At 37.0% G+C, this 21,513-nt stretch overlaps 1 long non-coding RNA gene across 1 annotated transcript; it reads left to right on the forward strand.

The window, feature by feature from the left end:
• The first annotated feature begins 12,054 nt into the window (after positions 1-12,054).
• Positions 12,055-21,116, forward strand: LOC102724780 (uncharacterized). The gene is made up of 2 exons (XR_001741713.3): positions 12,055-13,664; positions 18,901-21,116. It is a non-coding gene; the product is annotated as an uncharacterized LOC102724780 (long non-coding RNA).
• The last annotated feature ends 397 nt before the right edge of the window (positions 21,117-21,513 follow it).

The raw sequence follows: 21,513 nt of genomic DNA on the forward strand, positions 1-21,513 counted from the left end.
GATAGTAAGAGCAGTCAGGGTCAGTGTCACCTGGTTCCAGAGGGTAAGTCCTCTAATCCAGCTGTCTCAGTCCGTCTCAGTCCCCAGATAACAGCAGTGCCTCTTCTGACAGCCTGCTCTAGGTTCCTGCAACCCAGAGGATCATATTTCCTAGGCAGGTAGTGGAAGAATGGAGGCAGAATGCCTTGGCCAGCCAGGAAGAAGCTGCTTGTATGTAAGGCAGCTTACTCTTTGCACACCAAATATAGGTTCCAGGATCAGAATTCTACAGTGAGTTTCTAGGCCTGGAGTTCTCATAAGCAAAATAGAAAATACTAATAGATGAAATTTACTGAGTTCATAATATGAGCCATGTACTCTGATAAGTACTTTACTTGTGTTATTTTATCTTCAAAATAATTTGGAACTGGGGCATTGATAATTTAAATAACTGTAAAAATTCATCCAGTTAGTAAGTGACAGAGCTGGGACTCAAAATTCATATGTAGCTGGTTTTAGATTCTAATTTCTTAATTACCATTGCTTGTCCCTATATCCCCTCTGCCATATGGCATGTGATAATGTATTCCTCACTTTAATCAATTATATCAGTCAATTTAAGGCCAACTCTGGCCTTAAAGCAGAGTTTCTAAAAGCAGCTTTTCTATTATTACACATTTATGGATATCATAATGACTCTCAAGAAGAGGTCTCTTTTGGCATCCAAAGAATTAATTTTCCCTTGAAAACAACTTATTACTGATGAACTAACTTGAGAAGATTTTCGGCTGCCGGCATTGCAATGTCTAAAAGTCAAGGGAAAAGAAAATGAAAATATTTACATTTATGAACACATTTTATTTTCATATTAATGTTAATTGTTTTCTTTTTGGAAACATTATTCTGTAGGCATAATCATCTTATTCAATCTTGACTATATAATTTATATGTTCATAAGTTAGTATAGAGAGTAATAACATCTTTGCATTCATTCTTCAGTTTCTAAAGAGACTCTCAAGTTCTTCATTATAAGTTATCTGAAAAAGAGGTCTGGATCCTGGAAAGCACTAAAATATATGAAAAATTGTGATCTTCTATCACATTCTGAATGTACAACACCAGAAAACAATGTATTTGACACCTTTTATGGACCACTTTAAATTCTTTTTGACTTATCTCTTATTTCTTTATTTTTATTGTATTGTATTTTATTTATTTATTTTTTTTTTGAGATGGAGTTTCACTCTTGTTGCCCAGGCTGGAGTGCAATGGTGTGATCTCGGCTCACTGCAGCCTCTGCCTCCCGGGTAGCTGGGATTACAGGCGTGCACAACGAAGCCCAGCTAATTTTGTATTTTCAGTAGCGATAGGGTTTCGCCATGTTGGTCAGGCTGGTCTCGAACTCCTGACCTCAGGTGATCCTCCTGCCTCGGCCTCCCAAAGTATTGGGATTACAGGCATGAGCGTCTGGCCCTTATCTCTTATTTCAACTGCAGTTGTGGTGACCACATAAATTTGGATCCGCTGTGCTCAAAGGTAACTTGACAAGTACCCTGCTAAAGTCAGCATCTAAGACTTCTCACTTTCTTTTCTTTTCTTTTCTTTTTTTGAGATGGCGTCTCGCTCTGTCGCCCAGGCTGGAGTGCAGTGGCGCCATCTTGGCTCACCGCAAGCTCCACCTCCCGGGTTCACGCCATTATCCTGCCTCAGCCTCCTGAGTAACTGGGACTACAGGCACCCGCCACCACGCCCGGCTAATTTTTTTTTTTTTTTTGTATTTTTAGTAGAAACGGGGTTTCACCATGTTATCCAGGATGGTCTTGATCTCCTGACCTCGTGATTCGCCCACCTCGGCCTCCCAAAGTGCTGGGATTACAGGCGTGAGCCACTGGGCCTGGCCAGATTTCTCACTTTCTGCCAGAAGAAACCTGCTGGACACTCCCAGATGGACAATTTGGAAATGCAGGAGTTGATGCCAGGATAGCCAGTGACCAATGTAAAATGGGAGCTGATGGACAAAAGCTTCCCTCTTTAGTCATAGCGGGTACAGTTCTGAAATACAACTAATTAGGTCCCAGAGGGTGGAGCTAGAGTTGCCCCTAGTGATGGCCAGCTCACTTTCAAGTCAACTACTGCATGCAAGCTTTTGTTTCAAGATCTGTTTTTTGAGAAACCAAGCTAAGACACTCAAATAATTATGTATCTTAACAAATAACATTAATAACGAGGAGTACATACATTGTTGTATTTAATGTGTTTTATTGTGTCAAGTGTATTTTACAATATTTTAACTCTTTAAAAATTAATACTCTTTGTTAAGTTTCAGTTATTCAAAACATTTGGTTAAGCATGCCATCCCATTTTCCATTCATTTTGGGTCAAAAGAAATTTAATTCAGTAATGAAGCAAACTTTAACATTGTCTGCTAATCCTTGGATAGACAAATTATTTCAGGGAATATTACAGAATGGAATTGTTTACTGGAGTAACTATTTCCTGAAATAATTTGTCTATCCATTGATAGTAGACAATGTTAAAGTTTCCTTCATTACTGAATTAAATTTAAATTAGTAGATCCCTGATAGACAAATTATTAGATCCCATATCTCTGCAGAATTTCAAACCTGTTCTAATCCCATATGAGGGATGAGTAGAATCTGCAGAATTGCAAACCTGTTCATTTCATGTGATAAATGTGCGAGGAGAGGGTGAACAAATGAGTGATGCTTCAAATTTCAAATCCAGAAGACCATAAACCTGCTTACCATATCTACTTAAGAGTTCCTCTTCAAAAATAAATCGCCAGCTGTTGCATGAATTAAATACTATGTCACTGTAGGTTCATTTTTATTAGGTTCCTGGATTTCTATAAATCCAAGAAAGAAAAGAATATTCAGTTCTACATGCCAATTACAATAACACACTCTTATTAGGTTGCACAACAAATCAGGGAGACAAAAGAACCATTTACCAGAAAGTCGACTTGTCTGAACAAAAAAGCCAAAGTAATTTAGCAGTGAGGGCTAAGTAGTCATCAGGGTTGTGAGTTGATATGAGTCACGCCTACTTAAATTGAAAGCTGGCATCTTTTCATCTAATCTTTCACAGGTGCCTTCCAAAGGCTGTTTCTTATTTGATATGATACTTCTAGGGCTCAGTTTTTAGTTTTGTGGCTTGGTAAATATATCAAACCATATTAAGAATAATTAAACTTTTATCTGGACTGGAAAAAAATGTTAATTCCTATAGCTTTGGAACTAATTATTTAGAAACCCTATAATGTTCATGGAAGTTTCTTCTTACTTTGAGATTTTCTTTATTGATGTATGTCTTGCTAAAGAGAAGAAATGACTTATAATTTACTTTTTTTTTTTTTCGTTTTGAGATGGAGACTCACTCTGTCACCCAGGCTGGAGTGCAATGGTGCAATCTCTGCTCACTGCAACCTCTGCCTCCTGGGTTCAAGTGATTCTCCTGCCTCAGTCTCCTGAGTAGCTGGGATTACAGGCGTGTGCCACTATGTTTGGCTACTTTTTGCATTTTTAGTAGAGATGGGGTTTCACCATGTTGGCCAGGCTGGTCTCGAACTCCTGACTCCGTGATCCACCCACCTTGGCCTCCCAAAGTGCTGGGATTACAGGTGTGAGCCACTGCCCCCAGCCATAATTTACTTTTAATAGTTGTATTATCCCAGATCCCTTGGGTAGGTGGAAGACAGGTTATAATGAGTGGGGAAGTGACTTAAGCCATCACCCCTTTTGGCTAAGTCGCTGCTGTGGCTGTTTTTGTTTCCTTCCTTTTAAGCCCCTTGGCACACCCTCAGAGTCTGGATATTCCTGTAGATTTACCTCTGAGTTAAGGAGTCAACATTGTAACCTAAGATACTCTGTTTACAATGTCCTATATAAAGGAAGTGACAAAAAACAATGGCACATGCCTACCAAGAGGAAATTCCATCAAAGGATAATAAGACGAAGCAGTTTTGAAAAACAGCTCAGCAAATGTGCATTGGTCTTCTCCTGTGGGGCAGGAATCAAAGAATAGATATTCTTCATGGACCATTGGTGGACCCAGCCCTCAGTGAACTTGGAGTCTAATGGAAGAGATTTAAAAAAATGTGTATAAGTTAAAATCAATGTAAAAGTGCTGTAAACCAAAAATAAAATTCTAAGTCCCCCTAACCATCTGAATGGACCCCTCCTCTCAGGCAAGATCATTCGAAAATTAACCTGAAAAACTAGTTCAAGGCCATGATTGGAAGTGGGGGTCAGATGTGTCTCATTGTACCCTCCTCCCTTTTGGAATTCCAGAAAAGCCAACCAGCATTAGGATCAACACAGACCTTAAGTCTAATAAGAAACAATCTTTTCTCTCTGAAGTCTGCTGTTTGGAGGCTTCATCTCCATGATAATGCCTTGGTTTCCCCTTATCGTAACCCAGATATTCCTTTCTATTGATAATAACTCTTTAAACCAATTGCCAATCAGAAAAATTTTAAATCTACTTGTGACCTGGAAGCCCTGCTTCAAGTTGTCCTGCCCTTCCTGATCAAACCAATGTAAGTCTTACATGTACTGATTGATGTGTTATGTCTTCCTAAAATGTATAAAAGCAAACTGTACTCTGACCACCTTTAACACATGTTATCAGGACCTCCTGAAGCTGTTTAACCTTGGCGAAATAAACTTTCTAAATTGATTGAGACCTGTTTCAGATACTTTTGGGCTCACAATAATACGGAAGAAGTATGCATAGACAGTTGAAAACACCAAGAAAAGTCACTTAGCATAGAGGAGTGACAGGGGGAATTGACATAGCTGATAACAAAAATTCTTTTGGAAGGGCAGAAGGGAGTCAAGATTTCTCTTAGGGGTAAAATAGGCAAAATTCACTGGCTGTTGAACATTAGATTAGAAAAAATCTTAGATACTTTCTAAGTGGGCCTTTTGGATCTTTAGTATAGCAGGTCCATGACCACTGTTAATATTTGCCAAGGTTAGGAAGTGAAAAATGCAACTTTGGATGCACTGGTAAGAAGGAGGGCTCATCAAAAAGTCTGATTTCCAGTGAATATTTCCCACCTTAAAAGAAGAAATCTGAAACAGATAAGGATAATCAAATCTAAACTGTGTAATTTTAAAGTATAAGGAAAGATTTTCCAGTAGCTATAGATTAAATTACACTATAAATTCTATCTAGACCACAGGCTTTAACTCTACTTAGGTGAAGTAATGACTTCACCTTCATTACTTTACATGGGTCCAAATGCTAAATTAGTGGATGAGTTTTATTTTTTACATAGTTTTGCTTTGAGCCTACCAATACAAATTTAGAAGAATTGAGCTATATTCTCTTATTGAATGCGCTTTATGTGATATTAAAAATGTTCATATGGTAGATTTCTGAAAATGTTGAAACTTACCTACATGGACTTACTGAACAAGGTAACAACTGTAAATTGTTTTATAACACAGAAAACATCTTCCACCATGGCAGTTTATTTATAATACTTTGTCCAAAAAAGCTCTAATAGGACTGGTCTACATTAAAAATAAATGAGCAGAGCATAGACCTGGATTGTGGTTGAACAAAATTTGAATTCTTTACTTACTGCAGGTTGTTTGTTTGTTTGTTTTTGTAGAGATGGGGTTTCGCTATGATGCCCTGGCTGGTCTTGAACTCCTGGCTTCAAGAGATCTTCCTGTCTTGGCCTCCCACAGTGCTGGGATTATAGGCATGAAACACCATACCTGGCCTCACTGCAGGTTTTGATTAGTCCCCCTGGCTGCATATTTGGGCTCAAAAAAATGCTTTTCTTCATGTTACTAAGTAGACTGAAATTTATCTTTGTGGTTACACATTATATATCATTTGTTATTTCTTAAAGTCATGTAGGTTAGTCTTTCACAGTACATACCTTCGATGTTTACCATTTTGACTGAAGATATAATGCTAAAGATTTTATTAAATAAAATTAAACCTTTATAAATTAATTAAAGTTAACTTATAATGAGTTGTATACACAGACAGTAGTTCTTAAGGTAGACCTGTACTTCAATTTTTTTAAACCTTTATACAGATTTCAAGAAATATGAAAAATCAGGACTATCTATTTTTATTTGGATATTATATATGCTTCTCCTATAACACAAGACTTTTTTTATTTTAAGCTTTGGAAGCAGTACAAAAGACTGTTGTGATGAAGAGAGAAGAAGACATGTAGCAAATCGTATATTTAGGCAATCATGTTGATATAGTGAGGAATGGATAATGTATGTTATAACATGTCTTATGTTTTTGATGTGCCATCCATGTGTTTCTAATGGGCCCTTTTGAACACACACTAACAGGGGTTTAATATTTAGGATTAGCACTTTCAGTTTGGAAAGTTTCCAGCTTGGTTCTTCCAGGCCCTTAGATACCTTCTAAGGGTCTGCAATTTGATGGCACAGCTCTGATGTTTCATTCAGCAGAGAAGACTGTGGGTTCCTTCAAGTTCATGCCCATTGCTTTTTTTAAGACCTATCTTAAGAGGCCTCTTTTCCAGTAAGCTTTCCTTCTTATCTCCCTCTTTTCAGATTATCACTTAGCTTCATATTTCCTTGCCAGTTTGCACATAGTAGTTTCTGATACAAATTACCCATCACCTAATAATATTAACTCATTCATTCTTAATGAATTCACTTTTTTCTCCTGGAATTTATTTCAAGTTTCTTGTTTTTACAATAAATGTATCTTTCCTATAGTTAAAAAAGCATTTCTTCTAGAAACTATATATGATGGGAAAATATAGAAAAATAAATATTTAGGTGGTAGTTAATAGACCCAATAACAACCACAACAGAATTTATAGACTTATTTTCTGCAACACTTATATGGCACTTGTATATGGCAATTACATGGTTTTTGAATTTGCACAATTTAGCTTTCATTAAACACAAACTGTAACTATTATTTTCTTCCTCAGAACATGTAGCATTCTTTCATTTCTTCAGAAATTCTACACAAGAGACAAGTATGTTGAAGGTACAAAAACGAAAAAAAAATTGAAACTTTTTTTGAAATCCTTAAGCTTAAATTTTAAATAGAAATGAGACTGGCACACTTGGTAACTATCTCTCTGTCTTTTTTTAAAAAAGAGCTATTAATATTTTGAATGCCTCTTCCTGTTCCTTATTAATTTTTTTGCCACATTATGAGCTTCAATAAAATCTCATAGGCTGGGCGCAGTGGCCCAGGCCGGTAATCTCAGCACTGTGGGAGGCCAAGGCAGTTGGATCAGTTAAGGTCAAGAGTTTGAGACAAGCCTGGCCAACATGGTGAAACCTTGTCTCCACTAAAAATACAAAATTTAGCTGGGCCTGGTGGCGGGTGCCTGTAATCCCAGCTACTCTGTAGGCGAGGCAGGAGAATCACTTGAACCCAGGAGGCGGAGGTTGCAGTGACCCAGGATTGTGCCACTGTTTTAAGAGTTCTTAGGCCGGGCGCGGTGGCTCACGCCTGAATCCCAGCACTTTGGGAGGCCGAGGCGGGGCGGATCACGAGGTCAGGAGATCAAGACCATCCCTGGTTAACATGGTGAAACCCAGTCTCTACAAAAAATACAAAAAATTAGCCGGGCGCGGTGGCGGGCGCCTGTAGTCCCAGCTACTCGGGAGGCTGAGGCAGGAGAATGGCATGAACCTGGGAGGCGGAGCTTGCAGTGAGCCGAGATTGTGCCACTGCAGTCCAGCCTGGGCAACACAGCGAGACTCCGTCTCAAAAAAAAAAAAAAAAAAAAAAGAGTTCTTTATATAATCTAGACACTAGTGCTTTGTTATATGATGTGCAAATATTTTTCCCAAGTCTGTGGCTTGTCTTTTCATCCTCTTAACAGGGTATTTCACAGAGCAGAAGTTTTTAATTTTGTTGGAGTATAAGTGTTGTGCAGTTTTCAGCATACAAATCCTGTACATAATTTGTTAGAGGCTAGAAAGGGTGAAAATATAGGGTTCCAACTCAGCCTTTGCCAGCTTGGGTGCTGGTGAGGCAATAGTTTTTCTATGGTGTCTTGGCTGGAGTAGAGCTGTAATTGTCTAAAAGAATTTTATCTTGCTAGGCTGATACTTTCCTGGTCTTTTGGCCAGAAGGAGGGGACTTTTTCTGGGGCTTCTTTTTTCTTCCTGTACCCTTGGGAGTTTTGGGGGTGCTGTCTTCTTTAGCTCCAATTTTGGAATATATGAAGCAAAAAGAAAACTCATGGAACTCAACTACCATGTTATTAAACTCTGAAGTCACTAGCCAGACTGGCTGCTTCTGTTTGTTTTGTAATTAATGGCTAGGGTTCTTAGTTGTATTTAGTGGGAGGAATAAGGAAAAACACATTTATCCCATTTTCCTGGAATGAGAAATCATGCTTCCTTACTGAATGTTTATAAAACTATTTTTATTTATCTTTTTTTGTTTTATCATCTGAAATTCTGACTCCTTTTTCTTTTTAATAAGTGAAAATATTCCATGACATTCTGCCTTTGACCCTCTGTCTTCTCATTTTCATGTATTCTTTGTAATCATATCCTTTTTCAGGATTTCATTAACAGCCTTTGGGAATGAACACTGTTTTTAGGGTTTTAGATGTCAGCTTTCTCCAGATGACCAATTCTTTATTTCTCAGTGCTTGCTAAATAATCATCTTCTGTCGTACACACCTTCTCCATTGTCTCCTTTTCTTTAAGAGGTTATCATCCCTCTAGTTACTCAGACTTAGATGTTGTATTTGATTCCTCTCACAGTTGTGACTCACATCCAAGTAGATAAGTTCTGTCAATTCTATAAATATAATCTCTGACATATGGCCACTCTTTCTAATATTATTTTCTCTACGACAGTGCAGGTTTTCAGTTCCTCACACTTGGACTATTGTAATTGCTTCCTAACTGATTCCTCTACCTGAAGACTGTCTCCCTTCTGGTTCATTTTACACAGTACTATCAGACACATTTTAGGAAACAAAACTATGATTATGTGTCTCTCATAAAGACCCTTTATACTACGAAAGCACAAACTGTTTAACCCAAAACTTTTCACTCTTAATTTTGATTATAACTCACTCAAGCCAGGAATGAGTAATACTGTGGCTTCAGGACCTCAAGTTCCTGGGAAATGAAAGGAAGCTGAGACACATTTGAAAGGAGATAGGAAAATTGGTCAAGTTGTATGTGCAATTGGCCTCCTAGGAATATATGAGGCCAAAGGGGTTTCTGAAAGGCCATAACAAATTTGGGCTTGATGGTTACTGGCAGTCCATTTCAGCAGTTTGTATTAATTAGTGTTCCCTAGAGAAATAGAACCAGCCAGGGCATAGTGTCTCATGCCTGTGATTCCAGCACTTTGGGAGGCTGAGGTGGGAGGATTGTTTGCATCCAGGAGTTCCAGACCAGCTTGGGCAACATAGTGCGACCCCATCTCTACAAAAAATAAAAAATTAGCCAGGTGTGGTGGCACATGTTTTCCTTGCTACTCAGGAAGCTGAGGCAGGAGGATCACTGGAGCCTGGGAGGTTGATTGAGGCTTCAGTGAGCCATGATTGCACCACTGCACTCAGTGTGGGCAACAGAGCAAGGCCCTGTCTCCAAAAGAAAAAAAGAAAGAAACAAAGCCAATAGTGTATGTGCATATGTATAAATATATGTGAAATATATATATTTATACATATATATATTTATTTTGAGACAGAGTCTTGCTCTGTCACCAGGCTGAAGTACAGTGGCACAATCTCTGCTCACTGCAACCTCCACCTCCCCCGGTTCAAGTGATTCTTGTGCCTCAGCCTTCTGAGTAGCTGGGACTCTAGGCACCCGCCACCACACCTGGCTAATTTTTGTTTTTTTTTTAAGGTGGAGACAGGGTTTTTTCATGTTGGCCAGGCTGGTCTCAAACTCCTGGCCTCAAATGATCCACCTGTCCTGGTCTCCCAAAGTGTAAAATGTATATTTTATGAGGAATTTGCTCACAGGATTATGGAGGCTGCGAAGTCCTGTGATTTGCTGATCTGCCACCTGCAAGCTGGAGACCTGGTGTAGTTCCAGCCTGAGTCCAAAGACTTGAGAACAGGAGAGGTGATGATGTAAGTCCCAGACTGGGGGCAGAAGAAAACCAATGTCCCAACCCAAATAGGCAGAGAGATAATTTCACCTTCTTTGGCCCTTTGGTTCTACTCAGATCCTCAATAGATTGGATGACACATGACCATGTTGGGGAGGACAATCAGCTTTGCCGAGTCTACCCGTTCAAATGTTAATCTGTTTTGCAAGCGGCCTCACAAATATACCCAGAAATAATGTTTAACAAGATATCTAGGCATTCATTCCAATGGGCAGGCAAGTTGATGCATGAAATTAACCATCACACAGGTGTATTCCAACCTCAGAACTGGTCATCAATCAACACAGTAGTGTTTGATTCCAGGTGCTCAATCCCATGGGCTTAAAGACCCCAATCATTTAATGGAGGAGGCGGCAAGAACTAGCTTAGTTATTGGTAGCCCAGTCAAAAGGGCTAAGTTTCTATGAAGAGCTTCCATTTTAGCAGAGGACAAGAATGCAAAACTACAAATTAGCTAAAGTGGAAATAGCTGTACAAAACTATCTAAAGTGGAGAAACAGACTGGGAATTCATTCAAGTAGTGTCAAAGAAAGGATGTGATGCAGAGAGCACACAGCTGAAGTTCAGGACTCATACTGGGTATATTTGATTAAAATTGGCAACATGAATTTAGAACTACACTAAATAAAGTCTATTTGGGTCTAGAGTACCAATAGCCCGCCTACTTTGATCTGAAGTTTCAAAGACATTTTCCATGTCTAGAACTGAATCAATCCTGATGGACTCCCCAAGTAGTCCAGGCTATTAACTGCATTGGCCAACAAGATGGAATATTTTAGCACTAATGATTTAAAATTAGTGCCCAACTATAAAAAATAACTGTTAGAAAATTATAATGATTTTTCCTCTGACAGAGATTAGAACATAAGAACAATTAGGCTGGGCAGGTAGGTGGCTCATGCCTGTAATCCCAGCACGTTGGGAGGCCGAGGCAGGCGGATTACTTGAGGTCAAGAGTTCAAAGCCAGCATGGCCAACATGGTGAAACCCCATCTCTACTAAAAATACAAAAAATGAGCCAGGCATAGTGGCATACACCTGTAATCCCAGCTACTCAGGAGGCTGAGGCAGGAGAATCGGTTGAGCTTGGGAGGTAGAGGTTGCAGTGAGCCAAGATTGCACCACTGTACTCTAGCCTGGGTGACAGAGTGAGACTCTGTCTCTGTCTCTCTCTCAAAAAAAAAAAGAAGAACAATCAGTCCATGGATATTTTTGTGGAAGTTTATCTCATGTGCCTTATTGGTAGTGGATTTCTTTAATTTGCTAATAATTAAACTCTCCTAAAGTATTCAGACAGTGTCTAACATATAGTTGTATTATTTAATAAAGATTTCTAACTTTAAGCATAAGACTGAATTTGAAAAATACTTTTAAAAAATCCTTTTAGTATATTCCTGGTTTTATAGAAACACATTTTGAAATACCAACAGGTACAGTTCTCCACATCGTTCAGGAGACTTGGCAACATTTTCTGTATGAATATTCTTTCTCTAAGAATAAAGCCAAGAATCAGGAAACAAGGGCATCTGTGTAGCCAAAAGATATATATATATATATATATATATATATAAAATCAATACACTGAAACTTACATAATTAAATAAGAAGGCCCAACATATTCTCATTCAAAGGCTATTAATTTTTCTAATTTATTTTTTAATTTTTTAATTTTTAGAGACAGTGTCTCACTCTGTTGCTCAGGCTGGAGTGCAATGTCGTGATTATACCTCACTGAGGTCCTAAACTCCTGGACTCTAGCAATCCTCCTCCCTTAGCCTCCTGAGTAGACTACAGGTGCATGCCACTGTACCTGACTAATTTTTATTTTTATTTTTTTATAGAGATTGGGTCTCACTTCGTTGCCTAGGCTGGTCTTAAACTCCTGGCTTCAAGTGACCCTCCAACTTCAGCCTTTCAAAATATTGGGATTGCAGGCATGAGCCACTGCACCCAGCCAGTTTTTCTAATTTATACATATAAATTACTGCAAAATATTTCAAATGAACTAGAAGAAGATAGAAGAAAGACCATAGAAAGGATCATTGAACTGACTGATACTGAGGAATGACAAATAAATAAAATATAAGGAATAAATATGAGAACTCAAATATTGGGGTCATTTGGTGATGGTGGCAATAACCGTACGTTTTCCAAAATGCCTGAAGGTCACCACAATATCCACTATATACCCTTAGTAATGTCAGAAAAGTCAGTGGTAAATTTGAGAAAGATTTTTGTAAAAATATAATTGTATTAGTTTGCTCTCACACTGCTATAAAGAACTACATGAGACTGGGTAATGTATGAAGAAAAGAGGTTTTGTTGATTCACAGTTCTGCAGGCTTAATAGGGAGCATGACTGGGAGGCCTCAGGGAACTTACGATCATGGCAGAAGGTGAAGAGGAAGCAAGCACCTTCTTCCCAAGGCGACAGGAGACAAAGAGAACAAAGAGGGATGTCCACACACTTTTAAACCATCAGATCTTGTAAGAACTCACTCACTATCGTGAGAACAGCAAGGGGAAACCACCCCCATGATCCAATGGCCTCCTACCAGGTCCCTCCCCAAACACTGGAGATTACAATTCAACATGATATTTGAGTGGAGACACAGAGCCAAACCATACCAATAATTTTAAAAAGAACTTTTATATTTTATTTAAAAGATAAACTACTCAGAAAATTTGCCAATTTAGAAAATGCTTATTTTCAGAGAATTGTGGGTGGTCAAAGTCTTACACTCTTTGGAATAATTTAAGAAAGAGATAATATAACACAGGTTTATAGAACTGAAGATTGGTTCTTGATTAAGAAAGCACACTCTGGGCAATAATATGCTTTAAAAAATGTCCTTTGGAATTTAGCAAATAATGATTCGTTAGTTCAGTTGCTTAAAGCATGATATAAATGAAGCCATGCATTGTCTCAGGATTAAGTTGCATGAAAAAGGTGTGCTCGATAACAATCTATACCTCTGTGTAGGCTAGCCACTCACAAATGAGTACTAGGCCAAGCTTCATTTTTCTTGTAGAACTCTTTGTAGTGGGTCAGGGCCATCGTCCTTGTATACTAATGTATTTGCTATTATTTTTTCTATTACTTCTATATAATTCAAATTTTTACTTTAACCAATCATGGTTTTGAGTAAGTATGTTTTTAAAAATGTTTTTCATACCTATTCCATTCATGAGATGGAGTTTGCCAGGATAGACAAGACATTTTATTTGGAAAATGATGACTATATTTTAAAATAAATGGTAGTCATACCCTTAAGTATGCCTACCAAAGTTCTGAGTAGTCAACTTTATGAGGCATTTCATTAAAAACCCTCACTTTAACGTATAAGGCATTTCTTTGCTTTTTCAAAGACTGATTTGAATTTTTCCTTCCAGAGCTTTCAGGAGAGATCTACTATGTGGTCATTTTTGCAGTTTTATAGTTGGTTCAGCTAATCTAGTGTTGTGCTCTTTCCTTTAGCTCTTGGGTTGATAGCTTATGGCAGTGATAGTCAAGTGTATCACGCCGTGAAGTCAACTGTTTGGTAAGTGAGATATCACTTGCATTTCTCTACTTGTTCTTTTCTTTCTTTTTTTTTGCATTGAAGTTTGAATTATACAAACATTAAATATCATATGTATATTCTGTTTTGATTGTTAAACTATAGAATAGCCTAATGAGATCGTATAAGAAGTCATAAATTACTTAATAAAAGAAAAATTGTTTTAACTAATTTTAACTATGTAATCATCTCTTTGTTACAGGAATGTGATATTGTTCAAGCATAAATGAATATAAATTTGAGGGCTTGGGGATGCTTAAAATCTTTTCCCATTGAAATCAATAGAATTAGGTCAAGGAATTTACCCTAGGAGAGATTTTTCAGGAAATAATTCTTTCATAGGCAGAGGAAAACTATGCTATCAATGGTTTTTCTAGGTTTTATGCTAAATAGGCAATTTTAAAGTCTTCTGATTTAGAAAGTTTAGAATTGATAGAGAAAACTTTGATCTCTCACTAAATAATACACTCCAGAAATACTGATTTTATTAATTTCTCAGAAAGTAGTAGCATTGCTACTTTTCATGAGATTCAGGAGTAATTGGAAAATAAAATTATACATTATATTTATGGATCTTAATAATTGAAGTACTTTTTACATCCTAAATCTGGGGGTAGCAATGTCTACTAGTAGCACACCTCTGCCATACTTGTCATCATCCCTCCTAAATTGAGATTCTGGAAGAAAATTAAACTCTACTGTCTATGGCAACAGTTATATGAGACGAATAAACCTCTCTCTTATGCAACTGGAATGGTATTAACTATGTATCATCTTTGGAAGAACTGAAAACACACTCACCCATGTCGTGTTTTTAGGGCTTAATTCTTTTGTGTAACATGAGTTGAGAAGGGGTACATATGTTCTCTCTTGCTATCCTGGTTGTTAGTTGCAGCTTTTATATTATGAAATATTAATTCATCCAATAAATATTTACTGCCATGTGTCTGGCCCTGTGCTAGGCTCTGACAATATAATGCTGGGCAAAAATGAACATGGCCTCTGCAAGAGGTTTGAACTATGCATTTACTAAAGTGATTATTTGACTACTGACTGTATTTCCCATCAAACTATAATCTAAAGGTGGGAAAGACAGTAACCTAGAGATTCATATCTACTGTAATCTGGAGATTCATATCTTATACAGAAATCAACTCAAAATTGATAAAAGACTTCAACATAAGACCTGAAACTGTAAAACTACTAGAAGAAAATGTAGAAGAAAAGCTCTAAGACATTGGCCTTGGCAATAATTTTTGGATATGAAACAGCACAGACAACAGAAAGGAAAATAAACAAATGGGATTACATGAAACTAAAAAGCTCCTGCAGAGTAAAGGAAAAAATCAACAAAATGAAGAGACAACCTATGGAATGGGAGAATATATTTGCAAGACACATGTCTGATAAGGGATTAATATCCAAAATATACGGAACTCAAACAATAACAAGAGAACAAATAACCCAATTAAAAATGGGGCAAAGGAAAAGCCAAAAGATAACAAGTGTTGGAGAGGGTGTGAAGAAAAGTGAACTCTTGCACACTGTTGATGGGAATGTAAATTAGTGTAGCCATTAAGAAAAACAACATGGGCCGGGCGCGGTGGCTCACGCCTGTAATCCCAGCACTTTGGGAGGCCGAGGCGGGTGGATCATGAGGTCAGGAGATCGAGACCATCCTGGCTAACAAGGTGAAACCCCGTCTCTACTAAAAATACAAAAAATTAGCCGGGCGCGGTGGCGGGCGCCTGTAGTCCCAGCTACTGGGGAGGCTGAGGCAGGAGAATGGCGTGAACCCGGGAAGCGGAGCTTGCAGTGAGCCGAGATTGCGCCACTGCAGTCCGCAGTCCGGCCTGGGCGACAGAGCGAGACTCCGTCTCAAAAAAAAAAAAAAAGAAAAACAACATGGATGTTTCTCAAAACACTAAAAACAAAACTACCATATGATCCAGCAATTCCACTGCTGGTATGTATTCAAAGGAAATACAATCAGTATGCTGAAGAGATATCTGCACTCCCATGTTCATTGCATCATTTTTCGTAATAGCCAAGATATGGAAACAACCAAAATGTCCATCAATGGATGAATGATTAAAAAAAGTGTGCTATGTATCCATAGAGGAATACTATTCTGTCATAAGAAAGAAGGAAGTCCTGTCATTTGAAACAACATGGTTGAACCTGGAGGAAATTATAAGTGAAATAAACCAGGCACAGAAAGACAAATAATGCATGATCTCACATGCCAAAACTAAAAAAATTGAACTCACAGAAGTAGAGAGTAGAATGGTGGTTACTACGGAATAGAAATTGGGTTGGGGATTTATTGGCCAAAGGATACAAGATTTCAGTCAGATGGAATAAATTCAAAAGCCGTATTGTATAACATGGTAACTGTAATTAATAACAATGTCTTGTATTCTTGAAAATTGCTAAACGAGTAGATTTTAGAATTTTGACCATGAAAATGATAAATATCTGAGGGTAATACATATGTTAACTAGATTGATATAGCCATTCTACAATGTGTATGTATTTCAAAGCATCATATTTTACATGATAAATATGTATAATTTTTCCCTGTCAATTAAAATCTATCAATAAATATGAAAAAATAAACCTTGAGAGGAAGTGCTCTGAAAAAAAGAACACCTTCTATAAGAGATGTCACAAAGGATCTTGGCCCTGGCTGGGACTGTTGGCCAAAATGGTGACAAAGGATGTACAGGCCAGTGGACTGAAAAATATGGGGCTCCGGGCATCTTGTTGACAAGAGTTTTCAACTCTTCTCATTGAGCAGCTTTCAGTCACTGTTGATTTTATCAACTAACCACAGCATTAGGTCCCATCCACACCACACAGCTTATACTGAACAAGCTTAAAATACATTTGTGAAACGATCATACTAATTGTGCCTTTCATCTCATATATACTAACTCTTTGTTTAAGCTTAAGTGTAAGTAAGCTTTTTGCTGAGAGAGACAATATTCTCTTTGAATTCCCCATAGCACCTAACAAGGCATTGTATAAATACTTAATAATTGTTCATTAAATTTAATATTTTATAATATTTATTTTATCCCCCTCAGCATTTTTTGTTAAGTTTAGATATAGATTTATAGCCTTCCTTCTTTGATGCTAAAAATGAGAACAGAGTTTTAAACATTTAGACTTGGAATGATTGGATACAAATTTAGAAAAAGAAGGGAGTTTGGGAGGCTGAGGCAGGTGGATCACCTGAGGTCAGGAGTTCAAGACCAGCGTGACCAACATGGTGAAACCCCATCTCTACTAAAAATACAAAAAAATTATCTGGGCATGGTGGTGGGCACCTGTAATCCCAGATTCTTGGGAAGCTGAGGCAGGAGAATCACTTGAACCTGGGAGACAGAGGTTTCCGTGAGCTGAGATGATGCCATTCCATTCCAGCCTGGGTGACAGAGCAAGACTCCATCTCAAAAAAAAAAGGCAGATTTTTTTTTCCACTAGGAACTTAAAAACAGATTTTTAGCATAGCCATCAGTTCTAAACTAATTCATAAAAGTAGTGTAGAGAACATACAGACCATAGAGTAAGAATTCACGGTTCAAGTCTTGGGTATGTCCATGATTTGCTTTATGACTTAGGATGAATCACTTTACTTCATTAAATTTCATTTTCTTGTCTGTAAATGTGGCAACCAGACTGGGGATTTCTAAGGATTTTTCTATCCACAAAGTCTTTTAAATGTCTACATTTCCATGCATTTACTTCAAACTAGAAATCAATAACCTATTTTCACTATTCCTGATGTTGCCGCCACTGATCTAAGATAAATGACTTAACAGGCATTAACAGCTATAGCAAATATAAATGTTAAATAGAAATTATGTAATTATGTGAGATTTTGACGTGTAGGTTTTTTGTTTGTTTGTTTGTTTGTTTTTGAGACAGAGTCTCACTGTTTCACCCAGGCTGGAGTGCAGTGGTGCGATCTGTAATCTTGGCTCTTTGTAACCTCTACCTCCTATGTAACCTCTACCTCCTAGGTTCAAGCAATTCTCGTGCCTCAGCCTCCAGAGTAGTTGAGACTACAGGCACCCGCTACCATGCCCAGATAATTTCTGTATTTTTCGTAGAGACAGGGTTTCACCATGTTGGTCAGGCTGGTTTCGAACTCTTGACCTCAGATGATCCACCCGCCTTGGCCTCCCAAATTGCTGGGATTATAGGCGTGAGCCACCGTGCCTGGCCTGATTTCTAGATTTGATCATCTATGGCAACTTTTTAAAAAATCATCAAAAAATGCTTTTTATACAGTCATTCCAGTATCATTTGGTATGTTCATAGGAAAAGAAAATAAATTTAGTATTAGCATAAACAAATAATTTGTGAATTAGAATTTTATTCCAATTTTGTGGGTCATAGTCAGTGTTCAATCAGTGAATCAACAAAATAAATCAATAATAGATTATTAAATTTTTTTCCCTAGCTTGGTTTAGTATTATAACGAATAATTATATCATTTTCCTGGGGTAGGTATTAAGTGCAGATTTTTTTTTTTTTTTTTGAGATAGGGTTTTGTGCAGTGTTGTGATCATGGCTCACTGCAGCCTCCACCTTCTGGGCTCAAGTGATCCTCCTATCTCAGTCTCCCAAATAGCTGGGACCACAGATGCATGCCATCATGCCTGACTAATTTTTTAATTTTTTTTTTTTGTAGAGATGGGGGTCTCACTGTGTTGCCCAGACTGGTTTCAAACCCCTGGTCTCAAGAGATCCACCCACCTTGGCTTCTCAAAGTATTGGGATTACAGGTGTGAGCCACCACACTCAGTCCTTAAATGTTAAGGAACACTTTGCTTGCTTATCTGTTTTTACACCTGTAAAAGCAATAATTTTCATTCCTGATTTACTTCATTCCTGTGGCTTGTAAAACCTTTTTAAATGGGCTTATTGCCTTGCTTTAAATCCATATAGAAAAATCATATATGTATGTTCCCCAAACTCAGTTGGCTCTGTAGTGAGCATCCAAGTGTAGTTACTCAGAATAAATGCAATGGCTAGGAAAATAGTCCTTTGTAAAGGATATGCTAGATAGATAGATAGATAGATGGATAGATAGATAGATAGATAGATAGATAGATATAAATAGATCTTGGCTAGTATTTATTGAGGACTGATGCTATGACAGGCACTGTCTGAAATACTTTTGATGTATTTCTTCATTTATTCTCAGAAAAAACACTGTGAAGTGGTTCGATATGGATATGATGTCATAATCTTCTTTTTGAAGATAAAGAAACTAAGACTATATCATAATGTTCTTCTTGAAGATGAAGAAATGAAGACTCTGTGAGATATAGCGATTTGTTTTTGGTGGGGGCTTGGAGGAGGAGAGGCAGAGTTGTCTCTACTGTACTAGTGCTTTGGGAGGTCATTCTTGCTTAGGAATGTCTCCACTTCCTTTCCCCTCACCCCTAGCACAGCCTGAGTTTGGAGGGAGGGTAGAAGCAGGACTATAAGTAAAAATAATAACTTATTTACTTATCAATCATCTATCTGTGTGTGTATGTGTATATGTATATATGTGTGTGTATGTGTGTGCGTGTGTAAATAGCAGGCATACCTAACTTTTCAGTAAAATTCTGTTGAGAAGAGGAATAGGTAAATGATGCTAAGGGTAAACACAGAGTCAAGAGAGAAGGTTTAGGAAAATGATAGTGTGTGAGCTAGTTATTGATATCTCTGAAGAAAAGACCATGAATACTGTAGTGCATTCTAGGAGAGCAATAGTATTATGTTATCTTATATCCTGTAAGAAAGAGCATCCTATGGAAAAGATAGAATAATGTAGTTACTTTTATGCTCAGAATAATTCACATGTTCTTAGGTGAATTCTAGGTCCCAGAGATATTTCTGCTGATTCTGTAAACCTACCGTTTTCTCTTTAAGCGGTTAAAAAAATTTCTCCCTCTTAATCCCCCACTTCTCATTTATGTCTTCTTTTTATTTGTGCAAATATTATTTGAATCATTATTTCTACCCTTTTTCTTGTTTTAGGTTTGTTTTGCCCTTCTTTTACTAGGTTCTTGCAGCAGGAGCTTAAATTACTGATTTAAGATTTTTTTCTCTGTTCTAATGCATGCTTTTGGTGTATAAAATTCCATTTTCAGCACTATTTTGACTCTGCCTTGCAAATTTGATATGTTTTATTTTCTGTTTTTATTCAGTTCAATGTATTTTCAAGATTTTCCTTAAGAATGACTCCTTGAGCCATGGATTATTTATAAATATGTTGTTTCATTTCTAAGTGTTTTGAGATATGCTAACAAGGATATTGGTCTTTTTAAAATTGATCTCTTGCATGATTTCATTGTGGTTGGAAAATGTACTATGTATGGTTTCAATTCTAAATTTTTTGAGGTTTGTTTTATGGCTCTGGATATAATCTATCTTGGTATATGTTCTGTGAGCACTTAAATAGAATGTGTTTGCTGTTGTTGGGTGGGGTTTTCTGTAAATGTTGATTAGATCCTTTTGGTTAATGGTGTTGTTGAATTCTTTCACATTCTTGTTGTTTTTCTGTGTAGTTCCAACAATTATTGAGAAAAGAATGTTGAAATCTACAATTATAATTCTAAATTTTTCTATTTGTCCTTTCAGTTCTATCAAATTTTATTTTACATATTTTGCTGCTCTGTTTTTTGGTTCATACATTTTTATGATTGGTGTGTCTTCACATGGATTGATCCTTTTATCGTTGTACAATGTGCCTCTCTGTCTCTGGTGATTTTCTTTGCTCTAAAGTCTATTTGATATTAATATAGCTATTCCTGTTTTCTTTTGATTAATGTTATATGATAGGTCTTTTTCTGTTCTTTCACTTTTAACTAACTTATATTATTGTATTTCAAGTGAGTTTTTATAGACAACATATGATTGGTGGTATTTTTTAATCTACTCTGTCAATATCTTTCAATTAGGTATTTAGATTATTTACATTTAGAGTAATTATTGATATTAGGATTCAAGTCTGCTATTTTAATGCCTTAATTAAAGCAGCCTTCAGGTGCTCCAGGGGTCTATTCATCACTACTTACAGATTTATAGGACTGTTATCTGTATTAAGTTCTATGTACAACTTGGAAATAGTAATTGGACAGAGGAAGAGGATAATAATGTTAAACACTTTTAGAATAAATTGTCTGCCATATTATTTATGAATTGGGTGACAACTTTGTCCCAATATATTTATGTTTTAATATTGTTAAATAATGTTTTACTTTGGCCTACACAGATTTGGAAGAAATGTCTCTTAAGAAGCTAATTAAATAATTTATTGTACTCACGTTTGTTGAACATTTTCTATGTGCAAACTATTATTCCAGTGAAGGGGAGTACAATGATGAACAAGATTACTAATAAATGTAAAAATGCAAAAACTATAAAAAATTAATTTTGTTTTATATGCTTTATACTATATTGCATTTTATATTAGCTTCCTAGGGCTTCCATAACAAAGTACATGGACTGAGTGGCTTTAACAACAGAAATTTATTTTCTCACAGTTCTAGAGGATAGAAGTCTGAAGTTAAAGTGTTAGCAGGTTTGGTTTTGTTCTAAGGCTTCTCTCCTTGGCTTTTAGATAGTCTTTTCCCTGTATTTTCACATGATCTTTCCTCTGCACATATGTGTGTCCTAGTTTCCTCCTCTTTTAAGGACAACAGTCATATTGGATTATGGCTTACCCTAATAACCATATTTTAACTTACTTCTATTTACTTATCTTCAAATAAAGTTACATTCTGAGGTACTAGGAATTAGGATTTCAATATAAGAATTTGAGAAA

This window comes from Homo sapiens, chromosome 4 (genome assembly GCF_000001405.40).
Source record: "Homo sapiens chromosome 4, GRCh38.p14 Primary Assembly".
NCBI lineage: Eukaryota > Metazoa > Chordata > Mammalia > Primates > Hominidae > Homo > Homo sapiens.